The 21,284-nt window shown below is 45.1% G+C and overlaps 1 protein-coding gene across 17 annotated transcripts in view; it reads left to right on the top strand.

The window, feature by feature from the left end:
* Positions 1 to 21,284, top strand: part of RUNX1 (RUNX family transcription factor 1) — a 261,502-nt gene that overhangs the window by 215,889 nt on the left and 24,329 nt on the right. For 2 of the 17 annotated variants that reach the window (XM_011529770.3, NM_001122607.2), the window contains one exon: positions 11,718 to 12,135. The exons of the other annotated variants lie outside the window; for them this stretch is intronic. In XM_011529770.3, coding sequence (XP_011528072.1) covers positions 11,718 to 11,746 — 29 coding nt within the window. In that variant the 3' untranslated portion in view covers positions 11,747 to 12,135. Of the gene's footprint in view, positions 1 to 11,717; positions 12,136 to 21,284 lie in introns of those variants that run through there. 17 annotated transcript variants of the gene reach the window in all.

The following is a 21,284-nucleotide window of genomic DNA, read 5'->3' as shown; positions in this document are numbered from 1 at the left end:
TGGGTTCTCAGGCCGGGCGCGGTGGCTCACACGTGTAATCCCAGCACTTTGGGAGGCCAAGGCGGGCGGATCACGAGGTCAGGAGATGGAGACCATCCTGGCTAACATGGTGAAACCCCAACTCTACTAAAAATACAAAAAATTAGGCAGGCATGGTGGCGGGTGCCTGTAGTCCCAGCTACTCAGGAGGCTGAGGCAGGAGAATGGTGTGAACCCGGGAGGTTGGAGGTTGCAGTAAGCCGAGATTGCACCACTGCACTCCAGCCTGGGCAACAGAGCGAGACTCCATCTCAAAAAACAAACAAACAAACAAACAAAAACATGGGTTCTCAAAAGGCATGCCCACTGTCTCCCATGGAGCTTGACAGCCCATGCCATTAGCTCTCACTGTTAGGTTTCTGGGGAAGGTTCTTCTACTTGATTGGAAAATTTCCAAATAAATCTTTCCAGAAGATACTATGCACACAGCTAAGTGGCCTGTCTGTGGAGTAACCCTTTTGTAAACAAACAGAAACCTAAAGCTTGATGTTTTGGGGGGCTGCCTGTCATCTATAGGTTCATTTAGGTGTATTTAGGAAGAGGATCCATGAAACCACTGGTTTCCTGTTACATAATAATCATTAATAATGATTTAAAATGTGTACATTGATTTTTTTTAAATTCCAAAATACAAGCGTATATGGTAAATTAAGTCAAATGGTATGTTCAGTGAGCGAGATGGGCTTGGGGCAAAACAATACTTTGCTTCCAAAGAGGATACAACTCTCAAGGAGATTCTTTCATCTTGCCTTTAAGGTCATTTAAACTAATTCACATAATCTTCAGAAAACTAATTCACATCATCTATTCATGTGTAAAATCAAAAGGAAGACTGTTTTCTTAGTCTCTCGTTGCCTAACTGGCCATTTATACTACTAGGTTGATTAAGGGATTTGCCTTTTTCTGCTGATATGGGAACAAAAAGTCTTAAGCATTTTTAAAGGCAATGGAAAATTCAGCCACATGGGGGAAAATTGATATTGTCACCATTGAGTTGCTCTGTTTCTTGGTGAAGAGTGAATCTAATCTGATTTCCTTCTTCATCAGATATGCCTCTTTAACAACAAAAACAAAAAAATGGGGGGAAGTTGCACATTGAGTTCTCATCCTCTGAAGCTCCTGGGCAAAAGCATTATTGTGGACCGTGTGATGGGCATTCGTCAGCTCTTTGGAGACCTATATGCTTAGTAGAGTATCAGGTTTAACACTAAGCATCGCCCCTTTTTTGTTCCTCTTGAAAACTTTTACTTCTGCAACATTTAAGAAATCATAACTCGCTTTTAGAGTTCCTACGGGCTTGGTTGCTACTCTAAAGAATGTGTGAACTATATTGCTGGTGTTCTTTCTTTCCAAAATATGAATTTGATATTCAGTACTTCACTTGTAAAATTTTAGGAACAACTTTTAAAAAATAAGTATCCAGAATATTTTCATGTGAAACAACTTTTCCTTTTCCTTTTGTTCTTTCTTTCCTATAAGAAAACGCTGTTTTACGCTAATCATGTTTTGAGTAGACCCTTGGGCTTTTTCTCTTGAAATTGGAAAGTTAACAGGTATAATATGCAAGTCTTGTTCAGCCAAGACCTTCAGTTTGTTCTTGACAGTAGGAAAATGCTTATTTTCCAGGCTCAGCCCTGAAATTTCTATGTTATATTTACGAAGATACTTTAAGAAATACAGCATGTGTTTCTGGCTTTCTTTGAAATGGCAGTGGTAGTTTTCAGAAAAATATCCAATTTGTCAGAGTAGTTCCACAGTGGTGCTGTCCAGATGCATGAATGTTTTTCAGCTTTACAGAAATGTCAGTAACCGGGGGTTTGGCGAGCTTGCCGGGATTTATAGAAAGGCTCAGGAACCCTACCTTGCTAGGACTTTGTCAGAAGGGTTATGCCAGCTCCTCTGACTCTGTCAGCAAGAAAATACTGATATAGAATAGCACCAATACTTACCTAGAATCACATGTGCTGGAGGGTCACTCAAAATAGACATCTCAAATTATCTGAAGCACGGTACAGATTGAGAGGGGGCAAGTTGTCATGCCACTAAACCACTGTTTATTTGTTGGGGTCTTAACTATTAAAGGGCTGAGGTTTATTTCAACTTCCTATTTTACCAGGTCTTAAACTGGTAAAGCCATTTTGTCATGAAATAGAATAGAAAGCCATTTTGTCATGAGTAGACCCTTGGGCTACACGTTTCTCCCAGTCAGGACACCATCATTAACTTCTACGATCGAGTCTTAGAATTCTTTTTTAATTTATTTCAAAAGATAGAACAGGGCAGATTCTAGAGCTAGTGGTACCGATGCCTGTTCAGTCACAACTCCCACCTAGAGATGGGTTTGGGCAACCCGAGTGAGTGATTTTAAAATTTCACCCCTGATTGACCAAATATGATGTATCACATTTAAGGTGTCGTAATTTCCTCCTTTCTGGGAATATGAGGATGGAGTAATAGATGCTGGTACAGAAAACTGAAACCTAGATAAACTAGGAAGCCCATTTTGTTGTTCTTCTGCATGCTGGTTGTCATAAGCATGTAGGAAGAAGATTTAACTCTTTAACTGGACCAGTTGTGAGCTATTTTGACGTGGGTCAGACATTTGTACATATTATTCCATTCCCTCAACAATCCTGTGGTATCATTTATAGACAGAGAAATCGAAATTCAGAGGTTAAAAATTGCCCAGTATCTCAAAGATTGTAAGTGATGAACTTGGACGCAAACCCAGACCTTCCTTGCTACAAAGCCAGTGCAAGTGGGATGGCCGTTCCCTGGGCGTGCACTCTTGGGTCAAGGATCGATTTACTACAGGGCTGACCAGTGTCGAGAAGAATCCCAATCACCAAAGGAGGGATGGAAAAAGTGTTGGGCTATCCACTCACTTGGCATTCTTGTATTGAACATGTTCTATTATAATTAGATGTTGATAATAAGAAGAATTTTGGGGCCAGGCTGTGTGGTGGGCACCTTAATAAACTGTCTCCTTTGGTACATGTGCATTTGTTTATAAAGTTTGGGAGAAAAGAAAACTCAGAATAATGAATCTCTAAATAAGAGTGAAAGAGGGGGTATATGAGCAGGGAGAAGGCTTACCAGCCACTCTGTTTACTTTATTGGGGCCATTGCCTTCCTACTTTTGAAGTTCATTGGGACCAAGTGCTTATCATCCAAACCCAGTCAACATCTAATCCACTTTTATGAGTATGCGTGCCTCACTTTGAGTGTTCCATATGGCCAAGAGGGGTCCCTGACCTCTCAAATCATCTCTTGATTTTTAGTATTCCAAGTAACTTCTGTCTTGCTAATTATTTTCCCCCAAAATTAAAGTTACTTAGGAAGGACTATATTCTGGTGCTGCTGTCTGCAAAACTCTGAGATACTGAAATGACCCTGTTTCTCAGTTGTATAGAGTTATTTAAGTCCGTCTGATTCTCTCTTTATCATCTGGATAGACAAAAGGAAGAAAACCTTTCCACCTTCCTGTAGGAGAAGGAGATAAATCCTCTTTCCAGCCTTGGAGGTAAAATATCCAACTGCATTGCATTGCTTTCCTTTCTCTCTCCCTCTCCTTCCCTCTCTTCCTTACTCTTCTAGCAATTTGAAGTTTGAAAACAAAGGGAGTAGGGACTATTTGATTACCTTGAAAGTGGAGGCTACAATCAAACACCAGAAATCCTCATATGTGAATCTATAAATGGTCATTTAATGGTTACACAAAGTAACATATTCAGAATGTGAGAAATTAATTTATATAATAGGCTATAAACATGACAGGTGAATGATTTCATTTAAAAATAGCTTTTAACAAGGTGTAGTAGGGTATGAGAGCCTTTCCAGGTCTATAGCATTATAATCTTACCCCGACAACAAGCCTGAATCAGGTGTTCACAGGAATAAATAAAAATAATTAAAGGAAAGAAGGGAGAGAGAGAGAAGAAATGAAAACCAGTGGGATGACTGCAGAGATTCACTGCAGGGCTTGATCTTAGTGATGAAATATTTCTTCTGTAGACTGCATATGTTCTGAACTTTCCCCTTATGCTTGTAAATATGTAGGCCAGCACACCCATGCACTAAAAGGTTTCATTTGGAAGATTAATAGTTTCAGCAAAGTTGTAGTTGGAGCATGTATTTGATATTGATGGCTACATATCAGAAGGCTTGAGCTGGGAATCTAATAGCCAAGAAAGATAGCAGATCATAGTGGCTAAGAAAGAATGAGGGCTCAACAGGCAGACTACCTTAGTTTCTACCACATTCACTATAGGACTTTTGGCAAGTTACTTAACCTTTTAAAGCCTTAGTTTTCTTATCTGCAAAAGACGAGTAATAATTATACTAGCAGATCCTAGGACCACTGTGAAACATAAAGCAGTGGACATTAGAGCCAGCCCATGGTTAACACTCAAAAACTGTTAGCTGTTATGATCAACATCAATAATATCAAGTTGTCGTAGTCTTATATATTATAGACTGGGTAATATATAAAGAAAAGTTTATTCGGCTCATGGCTATGGAGGCTGGGAAGTCCAAGAGCAAGGTGCCATCATCTGCTGAGAGTCATCCCATGGCAGATAGGTGGAAGGGCAGAGAGCATCTGTCAGAGAGCTCACTTTTATGACAAAGCCACCTCCATGATAACTAACTTACTCCCTCAATGGTAGCATGAATTCATTTGTGAGGATGGAGCCCTTATGACTCAATCACCTCCCAAAGGCCCCACCTCTCAACATTGCCATGATGGCAACCAGGTTTCCAACATATGAACTTTTGAGAAGACACATTCAAACCATAGCATTCCACCTCTGACCTCCCCAAATTCATGTGATTCTCATTTTAAAAATACATTTATTCCATCCCAGTGGTCCCCAAAGTCTTAACTCTTTCCAGCATTAACTCAAAAGTCGAAAGTCCAAAGTCTTGTCTAAACCAGATATGGGTGAGATGCAAGGAAACATTTAAAGCAAATTCCATTAGCTTTGTGAAATCAAAAACAAGTCTACTATAATACTTCCAAAATATAATGGTGGGACAGACACAAGGTAGAAATTCCTACTCCAAAAGAGAAAAACAGGCAAGAAAATAGGGGTAACTGGTCCCATATAAGTTCAAAATCCAACAGGGTAAACAATATTAAGTCTTAAAACTGGAGAATAATCTCCTTTGACTCCATGTTCTGCCTTCTGGATACAATGGGGCTAAGACTAGGCCCCCAAGGCCTTGGGCAGCCCTGCCCCTACAGTTTTGCTGGGCTCAGCCCAAACTTCACCTCTCTCACGTTGAAGTCTTGTGTCTGCAGCATTACCAGGCTAGAGTTGCACACTGGTGGCTCTGCAGTTCTGGGTTCTCAGGGATAGCCCCAATTCTGTGTCTCCATTAGGCACAGCCTTAGTGGGGACTCTTTGTGGCAGCTTCAACCTCACATTTCTGTTCAACATTGCCCTGCTAGGTACTGTCTGCAGTGGTATTCCCCTGTGGTAGGTCTTGGCCTGAGCTTCTAGGCAGTCTGTGGCATCCTTCGTAATCTAGGTGGAGGAAGCCATGCTTCCACAGCATGTATTCTGCATGCCTACGGAATTAGCACCACATAGAGACCATCAAGGCATACTGCTTGTGCCCTTCAGAATGGCAGCCTAGGTATACCTAGGCCCACTGAAGCCACAGCTGGGGTGGCCAAGGTGTGCTGCACCAGGATGCAGGAAGCAGAGACTAGAGGCAGCCCTGGGCAGTGAGCCCATGAAGGGTGCCCCAGGCCTGTCCCCTAAAATCATTCTACCCTCCTAGAGCTCTGGGCCTATGATGGGAGGAGCAACTTGAAGATCTCTGAAATGCTTTTCGGGGTCTTTCTCCCATTGTTTTGATGAACAGAATCTGGCTTCCTCGCATTCATACTAATCTCTTTGGCAAATGGTTGCTTGGCCACACCCTTAGTACTCTCTTCCAAATACACTTTCACTCTTTACATGGCCAGGCTGCGAATTTTCCAAATCTTTCCACTCTGCTTCTCTTTTAATTGCAAATTTCATCTTTAAGTCATTCTTTTGCTATCACATCTCACTATATGTAGTTAAAAGTAGCCACACAGCAGCCTCAATGCTTTGCTGCTTAAGTATTTCTTCCACAAATATCCTAGTTCATCCCTCTTAAGTTCTGCATTCCATTAAGTCCTAGGACACAGACACAATTTCACCCAGCTCTTTGCAACCTTATATTTTATAAATATGGCCTTTACTCCAGTTTCCAATACCTTGTTCCTCATTTCTATCTGCAGCCTCATCAGAATGGCCTTTACCAGCATTCTACCAGCACTCTGGTCACATACACTTAAGTAATCACTTAAGTAATCTCTACGAAGATTTAGACTTCCCCTAGTTCTAAGGTCTTCTTTCAGAGCCCTCACCAGAATTGCCCCTAATGGCAGAACCGTTCTTGGCAATGCAGGCTTTTTTCTAGCCTGCTCCTCCAAACTTGTTCAGCCTTCACGGTTATACAGTTCCAAAGCCACTTACACACTTTCAGGTATTTGTTGTAGTAACAACCCCACATCTTGGTACCAACTTTCTGTCTTAGTTCTTTTGTTAAATGCCTGAGACTGGGTAATTTATAAAGAAAATAAATTTAATTCACAGCTGGGCACAGTGGCTCATGCCTGTAATCCCACCACTTTGGGAGGCCAAGGCAGGCAGATCACTTGAGGTCGGGAGTTCGAGAGCAGGCTGGCCAACATGGTGAAACCCCCATCTCTACTAAAAATACAAAAAAAAAAAATTAGCTGGGCATGGTGGCACACACCTGAGTCCTAGTTACCCGGGAGGCTGAGGCAGGAGAATCGCTTGAGCCGGGGAGGTGGAGGTTGCAGTGAGCTGAGATCATGTTACTGCACTCCAGCCTGGGTGACAGAGTGAGATTCTGTCTCAAAAAAAAAAAAAAAAAAAAAGAAAGAAAGAAAACAAAAGAAATTTATTTCATATGGTTCTGGAGGCAGGGAAGTCCAAGAGCATGGTGCTGGCATCTGGTGGGGTCCTTGCTGCATTAACCCAAGGCAGAAAGCAAGGGGCACAAGAAAGCATGTGCAAGAGAGCTTGCTTTTATAACAAAGGCACTTCACCAATAACCCACTCACATGATTATGGCATTAATCCATTTATGAGGGCAGAATCCTCATGACCCGTTTGCTCCCTGCAAAGGCCTCATCAACACCACCACAGTGGGATCTAAGTTTCCAACATGTGAACTTTTGAGGGACATAATCAAACCACAGCACAAGTATATTAGTTTCCTGTGGCTGTTTTAACAAATAACCACAAACTTGGTGGCTTAAAACAACAGAAATGTATTCTCTCTTAGTTCTGGAGGCCAGAAGTCCAAAATCAAAGTGTTGGCAAGACCATACATTCTCTGAAGCCTCTAGGGGAGGATACTTCCTTATCTCTTCCAGCCACTGGTGGCATTCCTTGGCTTGTGACTGTATCAGACTGTATCATTCCAACTTCTTCTTCCCTCTTTATATGGCCTCCTTTGTGTCATCTCTTTTGTCTAAGGATACATGTTACTATATTTAGACCCACCCAGGTAATTCATGATGAACTCAAAATCCTTCACTTAATTATAGCTTCAAAGGCCCTTTTCCAAATAAGGTCACATTCACAGTTCTGGGGGTGAGGAAATGGTTCTGGAGCCACCGTTCAAACTGCTGTATCTTTGTACAAAAGACAGGGGACATCAGACCATTGACCAGGCACAGCAGGTGAGTCCAGAGATAACTCTCCCAAGTCCATCCCCCAGAACAAACATGGTAGACAGGTAAATGTGAACTGAACATCTCATGCACAAATGCCCCAATCGTGTTACTATAACCTCAGTCCATCATTTGTTTGAACGCAACATCATAGTATTTTTATTTCCCAGCCAGAAAAATGTATGATTTTTTTTAGATGAGATCAGATATTTCCTTAATATTTTCTAGAGCACCTATACCGATGGAATCAGAGGTCCTGACAGTGATAGAGAAAGAGCTCTCTTCCCTGTGTCCCGGGAGCAGTGCCAGATGGGGAAACAGGAGGCCCAGGTGCCTCTTGTCCTAGCCTCCAAAAGCTCATGACAGCTTAGATGGTAGGAACAGAAAAATGGGAACAAAAGATGACATGATGACCAAAGCCAGACAGTTGGGATGGACTCAAGAATTTGACCTCCCAAAGCCAGGCATGTCACTGTTGTTTTGAAGCAAGCTGCCTTTTAAAAAAGTGACTTGATTGCCAGGCATTGTTGACTACACACCCATTTCTAAAGGATGGTGATTTACAAATCGCCTGAAGATAGTCTTTCAAATTTGGACATTTAAAAAAGAAACTTTTACTGTAGTCATGAAGTAGTATCAAAGTTTACCACAAGTTTGTATTGAGAGAAGAACAAACAATATATGCTAATATGAAAAACAGCTCTACTTAGAAAGCTACTGCTTGGGTTTTCTTATTAGGCATAGTTCTCCAGACTGAGTTGGTTTTACTCATCTACATGATTTTTCCTTGCCTTATGGAACAGAAATTCAGGCCCACTCGAATTCAGTTATTTTAGGGCTCTTTAAAATCCAGTATTTGTGATTTAAATGATGCGGAGGGACTTTCATTACCTGTGTCTTTGCTTATTTCTCTCTGGCCCTCAGAACACCCCACCCTGACCTTTAGGGGAAATTGACAGAGGCAGAGGGTTTCACCTGCCTCAATTGTCACCAGCCCTGTTACATTCTTCCTTCCAAGCCTTAGCCTCACAGGGACCTTCTCATTATTGAACAATTGCCTTCAAAGCAGTAGAATAGCCCAATTGTTATGGAGATTAAAGATACCGATTGCAAAACTCCTGTAAATAAAATCTTCACTGACAAACCCAGTTTCTTTTCATAGGCTTTTCTTCTGTAATCTCTTTCTGGCAGAACATCTCATGTTTTGATGTTAGAGATTCAGTTACCAACCACAGTAAATAAAGCAAAATAATAATAGAAAAATAGTATAGAACTCACCCTAAAAACAAACATTGGCCAACCATGTTTATTTTTTGTCTCTCTTTGCACTCCTGAGAATTGATAGGGGAAGAATGTACCACCTCTAATTCAGGTGATTTCTGATTAGCAAGCTATGGAAAGTCTTCAGGTTGAGTTTTAGCCAGTTCACGCTCCCCTAAATGGCATGGAATAGACTATTTTCTGTTTTAAGAAAAAATAGAACAATGGCACTAAATGCTTGACTGAATGTTTGACTAAATGTTGACTGAATCATGGATAGGAAAGATTGGGCAGAAAAGACAGCCACTGCCTCCAGACACAGGATGCCACAATCCTGGGCACCATCATTATTCCATACAACCTTAGGGTCATTTTTAGGGTTTAGAACTTTCTCAATAGGGTTTCAAGATTTTGAAAAGTGTCTTCCAATTCTGATCTCCGTAGATCCTGTTATGGGAATTAACCTTTTTGGAAGGGGATTCTTGTTCTTAAAGATGAAATTCCCTACTTTCTTTCCTGGAGGGAATCAGTATGGGCAGAGGGAAGAGGAGATGGCGATTCTGACCTGTGTGTCTCATGTCACCTAACACCTATGGGGTGGCATGAAACTTGAGCTTTAAAACACACCAGGGGCCAGGCACAGTGGCTCATGCTGGTAATCCCAGCACTTTGGGAGACCGAGGTGGGTGGATCACCTGAGGTCAGGAGTTCGAGACCAGCCTGCCAACATGGCAAAACCCCGTCTCTACTAAAAATACAAAAATCAGCTGGGTGTGGTGGCGGGCACCTGTAATCCCAGCTACTTGGGAGGCTGAGGCAGGAGAATCGCTTGAACCTGGGAGGCAGAGGTTGCAGTGAGCCGAGATCAGGCCATTGTACTCTAGCCTGGGTGACAAGAGTGAAACTCCATCTGAAAAAAAAAAAAAAAAAAAAAAAAAAAAAACCCACCAGGAATGGAAATGGTGCTTAATTCCTCTACCGTCTTGGTTCTTCCACACAATCTGAACTGGGTCACTGAATCTTAGCCTCCGTAAGTCAACATCATCAGTTCCGTTTAATAAGACTTGGGCCACTATAATGTCCAGCTCAATCCTCCTGGAAGTATGGAGGACACTGCAGGATCCTTCAGTTGATGTCATAAAAGCAAAGCATCCCTAGGGAAGATCTGTGAGTCAAGCCTCAAGGCCCTCGCTGAGTCAGCGCTAACTTGAGTATCAGGAGCTCACCCGTCTGGGACGGTTAAGTCTCCCAGCCCTGTAAATTGCCAGTTCCTGCTATGGATGATGTCCTCTTTACCTTACGGCTTTATGTGTTCAACCTGAGTCATTCTAAAGCCAGATCCAAGACCCAGAGAGCTTATGCTGTGCCAGTTCCTCTTTATATCACTGGAAGGACTACATATGTCCAGTTGCTTTGGGATTTTTTTAAAGAACATCTCAAGATAAAAAGGGAGGAAGAAATAATGTGACTAGGGATTGCACTTCCTGGAGTTGCAGGTCACATGAGGGACACGAACATGGTGGTTTGATTAAGTCTCGCGGGATTATAACACTGTTGTGGCCACTCTCACTCCATTAGTGCATCTCTCCGCACATATCAGATAGCAAATTATATAATGATAAAGTTATTAAAATATCTGTAAAAGTCAGCACAAGCTCAAGGGCTCGACTTGGCCTTTCTGCCCACTAAGTGGTTTATTTAGCTCTCTCATCTCAAGGCCGGTTAATCTTCATCTATACTTTGTTGTAAATCACCCGCTATGTGGAACAGCCATAACTGCCTGAGTTTTAAGATGCGCTTCTGTTGGTCGTCCAACAAGGCTGGTATCTTAAAGATGAATGCAGAAGCTTTTGAAGCATGAGACTCACCCACTTCCCCGTTTTAAAATGATAGCCTTTGTTTGTGATTGTGTCTATACCTGGGTTATCACAGAGCAGTTATGACAGCAAGATTATGACAAGGACATTGCCTGGTTCACATGTTTACTGAAGGGAGTAATAAAATAATGATAGCTCGTATTTATAGAACAGACCAATGTTGCTGGTTCATTGAATCCCCACCACCAGTCACCTGTAGGTGCATGACATGGTTAGGGGGAAGCATTGCCCGGAAGGTCCTGCCTGTGGTGTCTGGTTTGTTTTCACGTGACCCAGCACTGTTTCCTTTACCACCAAGTCCCAGTCCCTCATCTATCATGTAAGTGATTAACCAGGTTGTCTTCAACACTAACATTCTGTCATTCTGGATACTGCAGTTCCCGTGAATTAATGGTCACCCCTAACTAACATTCTCAGGAAAACCAGTAGGGTTGCCCCAGAGCCCCTCACTCTGCTGCTTATTTGGAAGGAGCCTTTATAGTTCTGCTGTGTGAGAGGCTCTGAGCCACCATATGTTCCTAAATGAGAGAAGCCGTTGCCCAGACATGGATCTGTTTAATTTAATATGATTTACCACAAATTACGAAGCATGACTTCAAAATTGAATTTGTGCAAAATTACTGATGGCCAATTCAGTGGAAGGGAAGGGAAATCTTGTTATTCCTATTCCAGAATCTCTTCCTGATTTCCTCATTTGATTCTTTCACGCCTTGGGGTAGGGGAGGGGAATGCATTCGCGGCTCTATAAAGAATTGTCCTTATTTTCGAACTTTCTCCCTGGTCACACATGGCTCCCTCAGAGGAAGACACAGCACCCTGGAGATGTTAAGGCAGAAGTCAGTTCTTCTGTCCATCCCTCTCCCCAGCCAGGATAGAGCTATCTTTTCCATCTCATCCTCAGAAGAGACTCAGAAGAAAGATGACAGCCCTCAGAATGCACGTTATGAGGAAGGCAGAATGTGGGTCTGTAATTCCTCCGTGTCCCTTCTCCCCCTCTGCAAACCGTCGTAACAATAATAGTTCCTAACACATGGGACAATTGTGAGGATTAAATGAGTTAGCCTGCAGAAATCACTTGATGCACAGCACATGGGAAGCATTGTGTGTATTTATTAATCCTTCACAAAGTCTTTGAGATATATTTTTATCAAATATTTAGCATGGATCCCGGTACACTTTCAATACTTAATAAATGGTCAATGTTATTCTTTTTCACTATTATTGCTATTTATGTGCTCTTATTGGCGGCATTGTTGTATCACCAGTTAGTTGTACCCATCGGTCCTCTCCAAGTCACACAGCTACTCTGCGATAATTCCCCCGGTGTCTCCTTATTCCTCGGGAGCCCCAGAGTGGATAAAGGTATTGGTGGTTTTAGTGGTATTTTCATTTGAGTTTTGTTTCCTTGGATAAACCCAAACAGGAGACCTTCCCATAACCACTGTTCCACAAGACCAAATGGTAAACTGTTAAAGTTGAAAGGACCTTAAACTTCTTTGCTCAAAGCCCTATATTTTACTCATGAGACACTCGAGGCCCAGGGAGTTTCAGTGATTTTCCGAACTAGAGGCAGACCTAACATCCAGGTTTTCTGGCTCCTGGCCCAGTGCTCTTCCCATTGGCTGGTTCGGGTCTGCCTCAGAGGTAGCCTCAGAACAGTCTCTAGGGTTGGTGTGGATCATTCACTTGGGCACTGAACCATGCTGTACGTCACACTGCCTTTTTCTGGAAATACACCATCTCAGGGAGATGCTAGGTCCCATGGTTGGGTTCAGTATCATGTGCTGCTTCTGAGTCTCCATTTTTAAAAGGTTGAATTCGTGCTAAGGAGGAGTGATGCTTTTTTTTTTTTGAGACGGTGTTTCACTCTTGTCACCCAGGCTCACTGCAACCTCTACCTCCCGGGTTCAGGGGATTCTCCTGCCTCAGCCTCCCGAGTAGCCGGGATTACAGAGTCGGGATTACAGAGTCTGCCACCACCCCCAGCTAATATATATATTTGTATTTTTAGTACAGATGGGGTTTCAGCATGTTGGCCAGGCTCGTCTCGAACTCCTGACCACAGGTGATCCGCCCGCCTCGGCCTCCCAAAGTGCTGAGATTACAGGCATGAGCCACCATGCCTGGCTGGAGGAGGGATTCTTAAAGCATGCAAGGAAGGGAAGTCCTCCTCAAAGCCACACCTACCCTCCTCAGCCCCACTCAGCAAGGAAGGGAAATCCTCCTCAAAGCCACGCCCATTCTACTCAGCCCCACCCAGCAAGGAAGGGATATCCTCCTCAAAGCCATGCCCACCCTCCGCAGCCCCAGCCGGCACCCCAGCCCTGCTCCCTGTTGGGGACAACCAGCTACAGGAGACCGACAGGTCACTTCCTGAGCACAAAGCCCACGTGGGTAGCAGGCAAGGGTGAACCCTGACCTGTCCCATTACTTGCATGAATTGGATGCATTCAACAAATGTGAATGGTCAGCCTCTTTGGTGTTTTTAATGAAGCAGCTACAAAAGGATTTCTTTTAACCAAGTTTCACCGTCCTGTGTGATTTTGAGTAAATACCATCCTGTGCCGATTCCTCCCACAAGCCCGGCCCTTTAAGCCTGCTTGGGGGCTGTGGCTTGGGCTGGCGGGCCAGAAGCAGGATGGCAAACAGGTGTGCGAGTGTGACAGGGCAGAGGCTGGAGCCACAGCTGTGGGAATACGAGGCTTTGGCAGGCCGAGGCCAGGAGGGGCGGGAGGCTGGTGCTGACTGATGGTCCTGTCATCCCGGTTCAGGATGCCACTGCCAAACTTCATGCCAATTGCTCCCAACAGAGTACACGGCTATGAGAGGGAGAGAGCTGGGACCAGATGAAGGCATCCCTGTGACGGCCACGTCCTTGTCCATGAATTCAGGGTCAGGGTGACGAATGGCAGGGCCAAAAGCTACCCTGGAATGTCACAGGAATTTGCAGAGACCAAATGCCCTTCTTTCAGAGGCACCAGAGTGGGGGCTCCCGCATTGACGGGTGGCTTCTGGGCCCCCTCCCTTCACTAAGACTTGGTGACTTGGTAATCCTCCCTCCTCAATGAAACTTATCTAAGAATTGATTAGGAAGAGGGACTGGAGCATGGCAGTAACTAGCAGTGCAGACCTGTCATCTCCATCTTCCCCTCCCATAGCGTGTGGCTCTTGCCATGTCATGACCACACTCCCGGGGGCTCGAGCTCTGGGCTTGCCTCAGCAGTCTGAGAACCACAAGTTTCTAAAGAACAGGTATGAGGAGGAGAGACTTTTCTTGCTCAAAGACATGGATCCACTCAGAAACAGCATTCAATGGTGCTGTGAGTTTCCTCCCAAGTGTAATGACCTCCTCTGACTTGGGCACTTCTTACAGTGACTTTGAACTTCTGAGCATTAGAGATGAGTGAATCGCAGAAAACTAGACCCCTTGTTAGATGGATGAGCCCAGAGAGGTTAAGAGACTTGCCCAGGGTCACACAGATACCACCCATATCAGAGCGCTCAGCTTTCCTTTCCCCTCCTCCCCAGCTTGGACACATTCCTAGGATTTGGATGTAGCAATGTGAACCGTCCTGAGCAGTCCCTTCAAAACAGCACTTAGGCGAAAGAGGGGCTGTTGGAACAAGACAGGACAAACACCCGTGTGCCTCTGCACGCTGCTCCACCCAGTTTCTCATCTTTATATTACAGAAAAAGAGTCTCAAATAACCCAAACAGGCAGGGTATGATCTGCAGACAGTCTGCAGGCATCTGCCCAAGAAGCTGCCGGTCGGCTGGTCCATCCTCCTCTGATTTATGTTGTGTGTGTTAAGCCTTAAATTGTTGAGTCTCTGGCTGGCTGCAGTGGTATTACTGGAGGGCTGGTGCATGTTTTCGGCTCACAGAGCTGGCTCCGGTACTGGAGGTGTTGGCCCCGAATCAAGTCCAATCTCACACCTGTCTGAGACAATGAGGGCCTTGTTAGACACATCTCCAGTCGAGGAGGTGCAGGCTGCTTATTTTTCACATTCAGAACCAGAAGGAGGGGGGTCTGGGACAAGGGGGATGGGAGAAGCCAAGGGGAGACGGGAAATGCTGGGGTCAGCTGCCTCTCGGGCCCTTTCCCTCTCCTTCTCCCTCCTCCCTTCCCCCGCTCTTATTTAATAAACTTCTCCTTACTTTTGGAAATTAAAAAACAAACAAACAATACTAACAGTTGCCCTCTTATGAAGGATAATTTCCTACTGCAGAACAAGGAGCTCGTGGCCTGTTGTAGGATAAATTCCCAGTCATCATGGGAGTGGAGCAGCCCAGGGGAGGAGTGGGGTGAATAGGCAGGGGCGCAGCCCCCACCCCACCCCAGCACTGAAACTTGAGCTCTTTGCACACTGAGGGCGCCTGTCAGTGAGAGGTTTTCTCTTCTGGTTTTCCCTCCACTGCTGACATTTCAGTGACAGCCGCAGAAAGTAGAGGGGACTTTGTCCCCAGCTCCATATTATTCATTGATGAAACCGCAAACTGTTCTGTCCTGGTTCAGCCTTCCTGTCCCCTGTGATCAGAGCAGACAGAGCAGGCCACCAGGACTTACGTCTGCAGACACTTTGCAAATCCAGTTCTCAAGAGGCCCTGACATGAGGCGGCCCCGGGCAGGAGTCCTTCTGGGTACAGGCTGGCACCCCTCAAGGGTGATGATCGCTCTGAAGGATCATTACTTAGTCAAAGCCACCCTGAAATGACTTTCTATTGCAGGACCACACGACGTGGAGGCCCATAGTGTAGGAGTCAGGAAAAGAGCTTCCCAGAGTTATCAAAAACCACTCTTTACTGCGAGAGCCAACAGTAAGGAGCCTGTGTAGAAGAGCTAAGAAAATCTCACACATGTAGTGGCCATGTCTTGGGGGCTTGAGTAACTCGACAAATCTCCCAGCTCTGTTTGTGATCAGGTAGGCTCTTACCTGAGCCGGGAGGCATTTAGGTGCCAGCAGTCACTCAAACAAGGAATGGGCAGCCCTATCCTTCTCATCCATACACAACTTATTTAAGCACTAAGCCCCATTGCTGACTCCTAATTTGGCCTCAGCGACACAACAGGGAAAATCCATATGCTGTTTATTTCATTTGAGACTGAGGACTTACCAGAGATGAGGTTGCGCCAGTCTGTTTCTTGTAGTATAAATCATTTGTAGCTCAGCCACCCTTGTATCTCTGTATGTACATCAGTTGACAATCCCAGAGAAACAAAAGGACAACTTTTCAGAGGCAGCAGAGTGACAGACGGTGAATAGCAATGAGCATAGGCAACCTGGACTTCTGGCTACACTCCAGCCTGAGTTTGAATCCCCTCTATGTGACCTTGAGTGACGTGTGAAGACCCAATGTGCTCACTGTTGATACTTTGGCCTTCAGAGAGTCCAGGGACTGCACTGCATAGGTTCCCTTAGCCCTGCACTCCTGGTAGAACCTGTCTGAATATGTCACCTTTGGAGGAAAGTGGCCGAAGAAGCAGGTGTTGCTATTTCAGGTCAGCTGATGCCAGGGAGGCCTGATACCTATGGAGACCATGGAACCACCAGTTTCCTGTCTCCTTCTCTAGCCATGCCTCCCTGCCTTGTTCTGGGCCACAAGGTGCTCCATTCTTCCGAAGCTCATTCTTGCTCTGAAATGACCAAAAAGTCAAGCCAACGAACAGGAGGGAGGCTGGACACTGAGGTGGGTGAATGCTGCAGATCTTCCTGCTTGATCTCTGAACACCCATGACCAGTCCTGCCCACAAGCTTTGGTCCATGCTGGATGCCTACCCAGAAAGTTCCTTCCTCTCCTCCCCACCACATCCCCGAATCCTGCCATTCTTCAGGGCACCTCACCTGCCCCATCTCCTCCAGAACATCTTTGTCCTCACTGAGGCCCAGACTGACTCCCTTCCCGACTCCTGACTGATCTGTTGGTCTCTGTCACTTTGGCATTTCCCCACACATTGCCTTCTGCTGTTACCAGATAGGCTGCATGTTTGAGTGACGCTTCACCAACTGTCATGGCTATGATTTTCCACCATCTGTGCTGTAAGACAGTAAAAACTCAACCACCACCACCGAGATGCCATCCAGGCAGGCAACCCTGAGCGTGCCCCCACCCGCTACACACTCTTCTCCCCAGAGCACATCAGGGTTCTGAGATCAACAAGTTGGAAGGAGACTTCCAGGTGGGCAGGAACGCTCTCTCCTTCCCAGGACCCCCACGAACCTAGCCCAGAGCTGCAGAGAAAGGGGTGCATGAGTCGTTGAGGAAGGATTTTTCCTTGCTCCTGGGACAGCAAGTCAAAACTGTTTGTTTTAGGTTTTAAGTTAATTTCAGAATATCCTGCCCTAAACAATTTCTTTCCTTACATAGCACCAACTCTCTGCTGGGGCCCTTTGGCTGTTTCCTTTCTCCATTCTTTCCTTCTCCTTTCCCAGATCCCAGCTGGGAACCTGGGGGGAGAGCCTGGCTGGCACCACCTGCCCTTTCTTGGGCCATTTCCCTTCTTGTTTGTGATGAGGAGGAGCCTAGGAAGTCTCCATGCTTCTTGGCTTTCTGGCCCTCATCACTTTCACAGCCTTCTGCTAACTAAGCTAGTGAGCCCCCCTGCCCTTTCCCATTCCCTCTCTGAGGCCAAACTCTCTCATCCCAGCTTCTTTCTTTTCATCTTCCTTCCTCTAAAGACTGCTCAGCCTCATCGGAGGCTGCCTTCTGAATCCTGACCCTGCTTTCCACATTTTGTAAGACATCTCGGCCCCAGAGTAAGAGTGCATGATTTACCTACCACTTCCTTGGATCCCAACCCCTACTCACTGCTAGCTCCTGGCAGTGGCGTTCTTCCTCCTTCCTTGGTGTGCAGATGTGCCCCTGTGTGGCCTCCTTCTCTAAAAGCATTCTAGATTGTTCTTGGTTCCAGCACTTCTGAAACCCATCCTTCCAAGTTTACTCTTTTTCTTGCTATCCCTCGTATTTTCCCACTCCTCATGGAAGCTTCTTTCCCACACCCACCCTGTGCCCTATGGCGGGGGCTTCAGGACCCCCAACCCCAGCCCTGGAGCGTTTCAGTGCTGCCATCCTGCTGGCTTCACTTGGTGCTTCCTCCACAGCAACTACAAAAGCCAAGGAACCTTCCCCAGTCCCTCCCCTCCCCAGCATTCTCCTAGCAGAATTACATTTTAATTTTCAGCTGAATGGATGAAGAACCATTCCAACACCTCTGTGTCACCCACAGTTGTCTAAAACACACAAACAAAAAAAAGTCTGGGTCAGCAGAGGGGAGACCATGGTCACTCTCCTTGTCAACCTTCCCTTTGCCCATTCTTTGTTTTCTCTTCCCTCCACCTCTGTTCCTCTGAAACCTCTTTTGTTCAAATCAAGGGGAAGGTAATTCAGAGGTGCTGTTGAGACTGGTTTGCTTTTTAATTTTTTTTTTCAAAGAAGACGGGAAGTTCCTGTTTTTTGGAAAGGTTGTTCATTTCCAAAGAAGTTACACAGCCAGTCAGCTATAGGATGATTCCTGGCTGCATTTTTTCGGGGTAGTACACAATACAAAAAAATAAGTCAATGAGAGAGAGAGAGTCAGTCAGTGAACACAAAGGGAGATGTTATAATAGGCTTTTGTTGGTACTTGCATTTTCTTGTTGAAAAACAGAGCAAAGACCCCGAGGTGCTGAGGTGTGGACAGAAGCCTGATGTTATCAGGCCCCCAGAAATCCTGCCTGCAGTCCAGTGGCAGGCAGGATCCAGAACTGGAAAAGACGGAGGCAACTGGTCCTGCTCAGCACAAACGGTGCTTTTAGTCTTTCGTAAACAGCCTGTGCCCCAGGGCTCAAATCCTTCAAAAGTTTGCCTGGGTAATTGCATTTCATTGCTGTCTGGCATGTGCTCATCAGTCTAATCTGGAGGTTCAGACAGCCAGGCCAAAGCTTGCGAGACTGGAGGAGAGCGAGCCTGTGAATTTAATCCACTTGAAAGACAGAATAATACAAGTGCATCTAACTCATTATTTTAAGTGATGCTAGTCGAAAAGGGGATGGTGCTTTCCATAAAAGCATTTAAAATCAGCACGCTGCAGTTGCAGCCACTTGGCAGTTTAAGGCCATTAGAAGAAAAGGCGCACACAGGTGACAGTGTGATCCCTGTCGCCGTCTGCTTGTCCCTGAAAGCCTTCCTCCTCCCCACGACCACCTCAAAACACAGAAGGCAAAAGGAATGGTAACTTCCATCCCTAATTTTGACTTTGGGTTATTTGTACATTTACAGCAACAGACACCAACTTTTATTTGAGATTTGGGGTCATTTTGGCATCGTTTCAGGGTGGAGAGAAGACATAAATGAAGTTAGGACTTCCCAGTCCATCTCACCAAGCTCAGGATCTCACAGAGCTATAAGCAGGCAAAGGTGTTCCCCACCAGAACCATCTGGACAATGTGCTTTCCAGTGACTTCTTTTTTTTTGAGGTTTAGCTAGGTCTTTTTGTTCTGTCAGTACATGGTAACTAGATTGATGGGAGGGTTATAGTTTCTAACTATCATGTAGTTAAAGCAGTAGTCTACAAAGAGCCAGAAGGTCTGTCCCTGCTCTGTTGCTATCTGCTGTGGAGAATAGGGGGAGTCCCTTCACCATTCCGCACTGCAGCTTTCTCTGAGATGGGGCTGGCATGGTTGTCTCTGCTGTCTCGGAGGTTGCTTTCTGCTCTATCATTCCATAAGACATTAGAATGAAACCTTAAGTAATGTTGACGGTGATTTGCGTCATTATCTAGTTACATGTGACTCATGCCCAGGAAGCCCAGGAGAGGCAAGTGCTAGCCTGTACCCTCCCAGATGGCAAAGCCGACGGTCAGCTCAGGAGCAGTCTTGTTGGTAGTTCACACCTGCAGCTCACCCAGGGCTCAACATGCCAGCTCTAAGTCTGGGTGCCAGGCCATGAGACTGAGAGAGCAGTCGCCTTAAACCTTACATGGGGATGGAGTTTCCCCCTGGGTGCATCATGACTGCAGCCACCCAGGATTCTCACAAGGGCTCCAGAAAGTGCTCACCACACACCTCATCTCCTCATACCCCTCAGTTCATTTGTACTGTGCCCAGGGGACAATGCTGTGTTAGCTTTCCCCGATCCTGAAGAGCACCTCTAGAAGTCACATCTTCCGTCTTGTCATCATGGTAGCTGAAACCATTGTGGCAGTGTGTGCTTTCCCTGAGCAAGGTTTTCTTTGACACTTTAGGGCACGCTTGATCTTGTGGGCAGGATCATTCTCTGTTGTAGGGGCCATCCTGTGCATTGTAGGATGTTGAGCAGCATTCCTGGCCTCCACGTACTAGATGACAGTAGCACTCCCCCTTCCTCAGTTGTGGCAACCAAAAATGTCTCCAGACATTGCCAGAAATCCCCTGGAGGAGAAATCACCCGTTTGATGATCGCTATTTAAGAGTAATTGGGAAATTCACAAGGATCTTCTAGTCAATATACACAGGATCTCAATGCCTGAAAAAAATGTGAGTTACTTAGCTATCTAAACTTGGTAGTAAGTCAATTTTGACCCTTCAGTTCTGTAGGTCCTAGCATTCCTGTCTTCCATAGGTCATCCCTCTTGTTGAGCAAGAGTTTCATAGTTGTCTGCTATCTCAACCTCTACATTTAATTTTTTTAAAAAAAATTACTCCATTTTAGCCCAAGTATATGGCTTCTATGAGAAAGCCTTCCTTGGCCTTGTAAATCAAAGCAGTTCTCTGGAGGGAGGTTTCCCACTGCTGGGCTGAGTATCATCTTTCTCAGGGTGACCTCATCTATTGAAGTATGAAGGTTGTATTTGAAATGCCATTTACTTTCTCTAAGTCAATAAACGAAGCTGTGGATCTGTAGATCATCAGAGGTCTGCTTATTACCAAGCGGTTTTGTGTGTGTCATTTTTTAAATCGAGATCTGTGTTGGAGTTTAAAAGAATTCTGGCAGATTTCCATTTGCCTTTCTGAATCAGAGTTTGGGGTGAGCGAGTGTAGATTGCCCCTAGATGAATCTGACTTTATTAGTTTGTGTCCTTTGTTCAGAGCACCAGGGATGAGCTTATGAAAGCACAAATGGCTCTTATCTTCAAGTGTTTCCTTTATGCTGCAAATTCCACCTCACCAACCTGTGTTATTAACCCACTGCAATCCCAATTAGTTCACATCAAGGTCAACTCTTTGGGGTGTGCAAAATGGCTGCAAACTTAAGTGAACAAATTCCCCTTGTGTAGCTCTCACATGAAGGTGGGGGAGAAGACTGCAGCAGGGGAACTTAGAAGAAAGAGGGAGTTTTCTGATACCATAGAAGAAAGTGATAGTGATTCCCCTTGGCTCACAAGCCAAAGAAATCCAATTATTCCAAATAAT

Source organism: Homo sapiens, chromosome 21 (genome assembly GCF_000001405.40).
Source record: "Homo sapiens chromosome 21, GRCh38.p14 Primary Assembly".
Classification (NCBI taxonomy): domain Eukaryota; kingdom Metazoa; phylum Chordata; class Mammalia; order Primates; family Hominidae; genus Homo; species Homo sapiens.
Note: the sequence above shows the minus strand (reverse complement) of the source record. Positions and strands in the feature narration are given on the sequence as shown.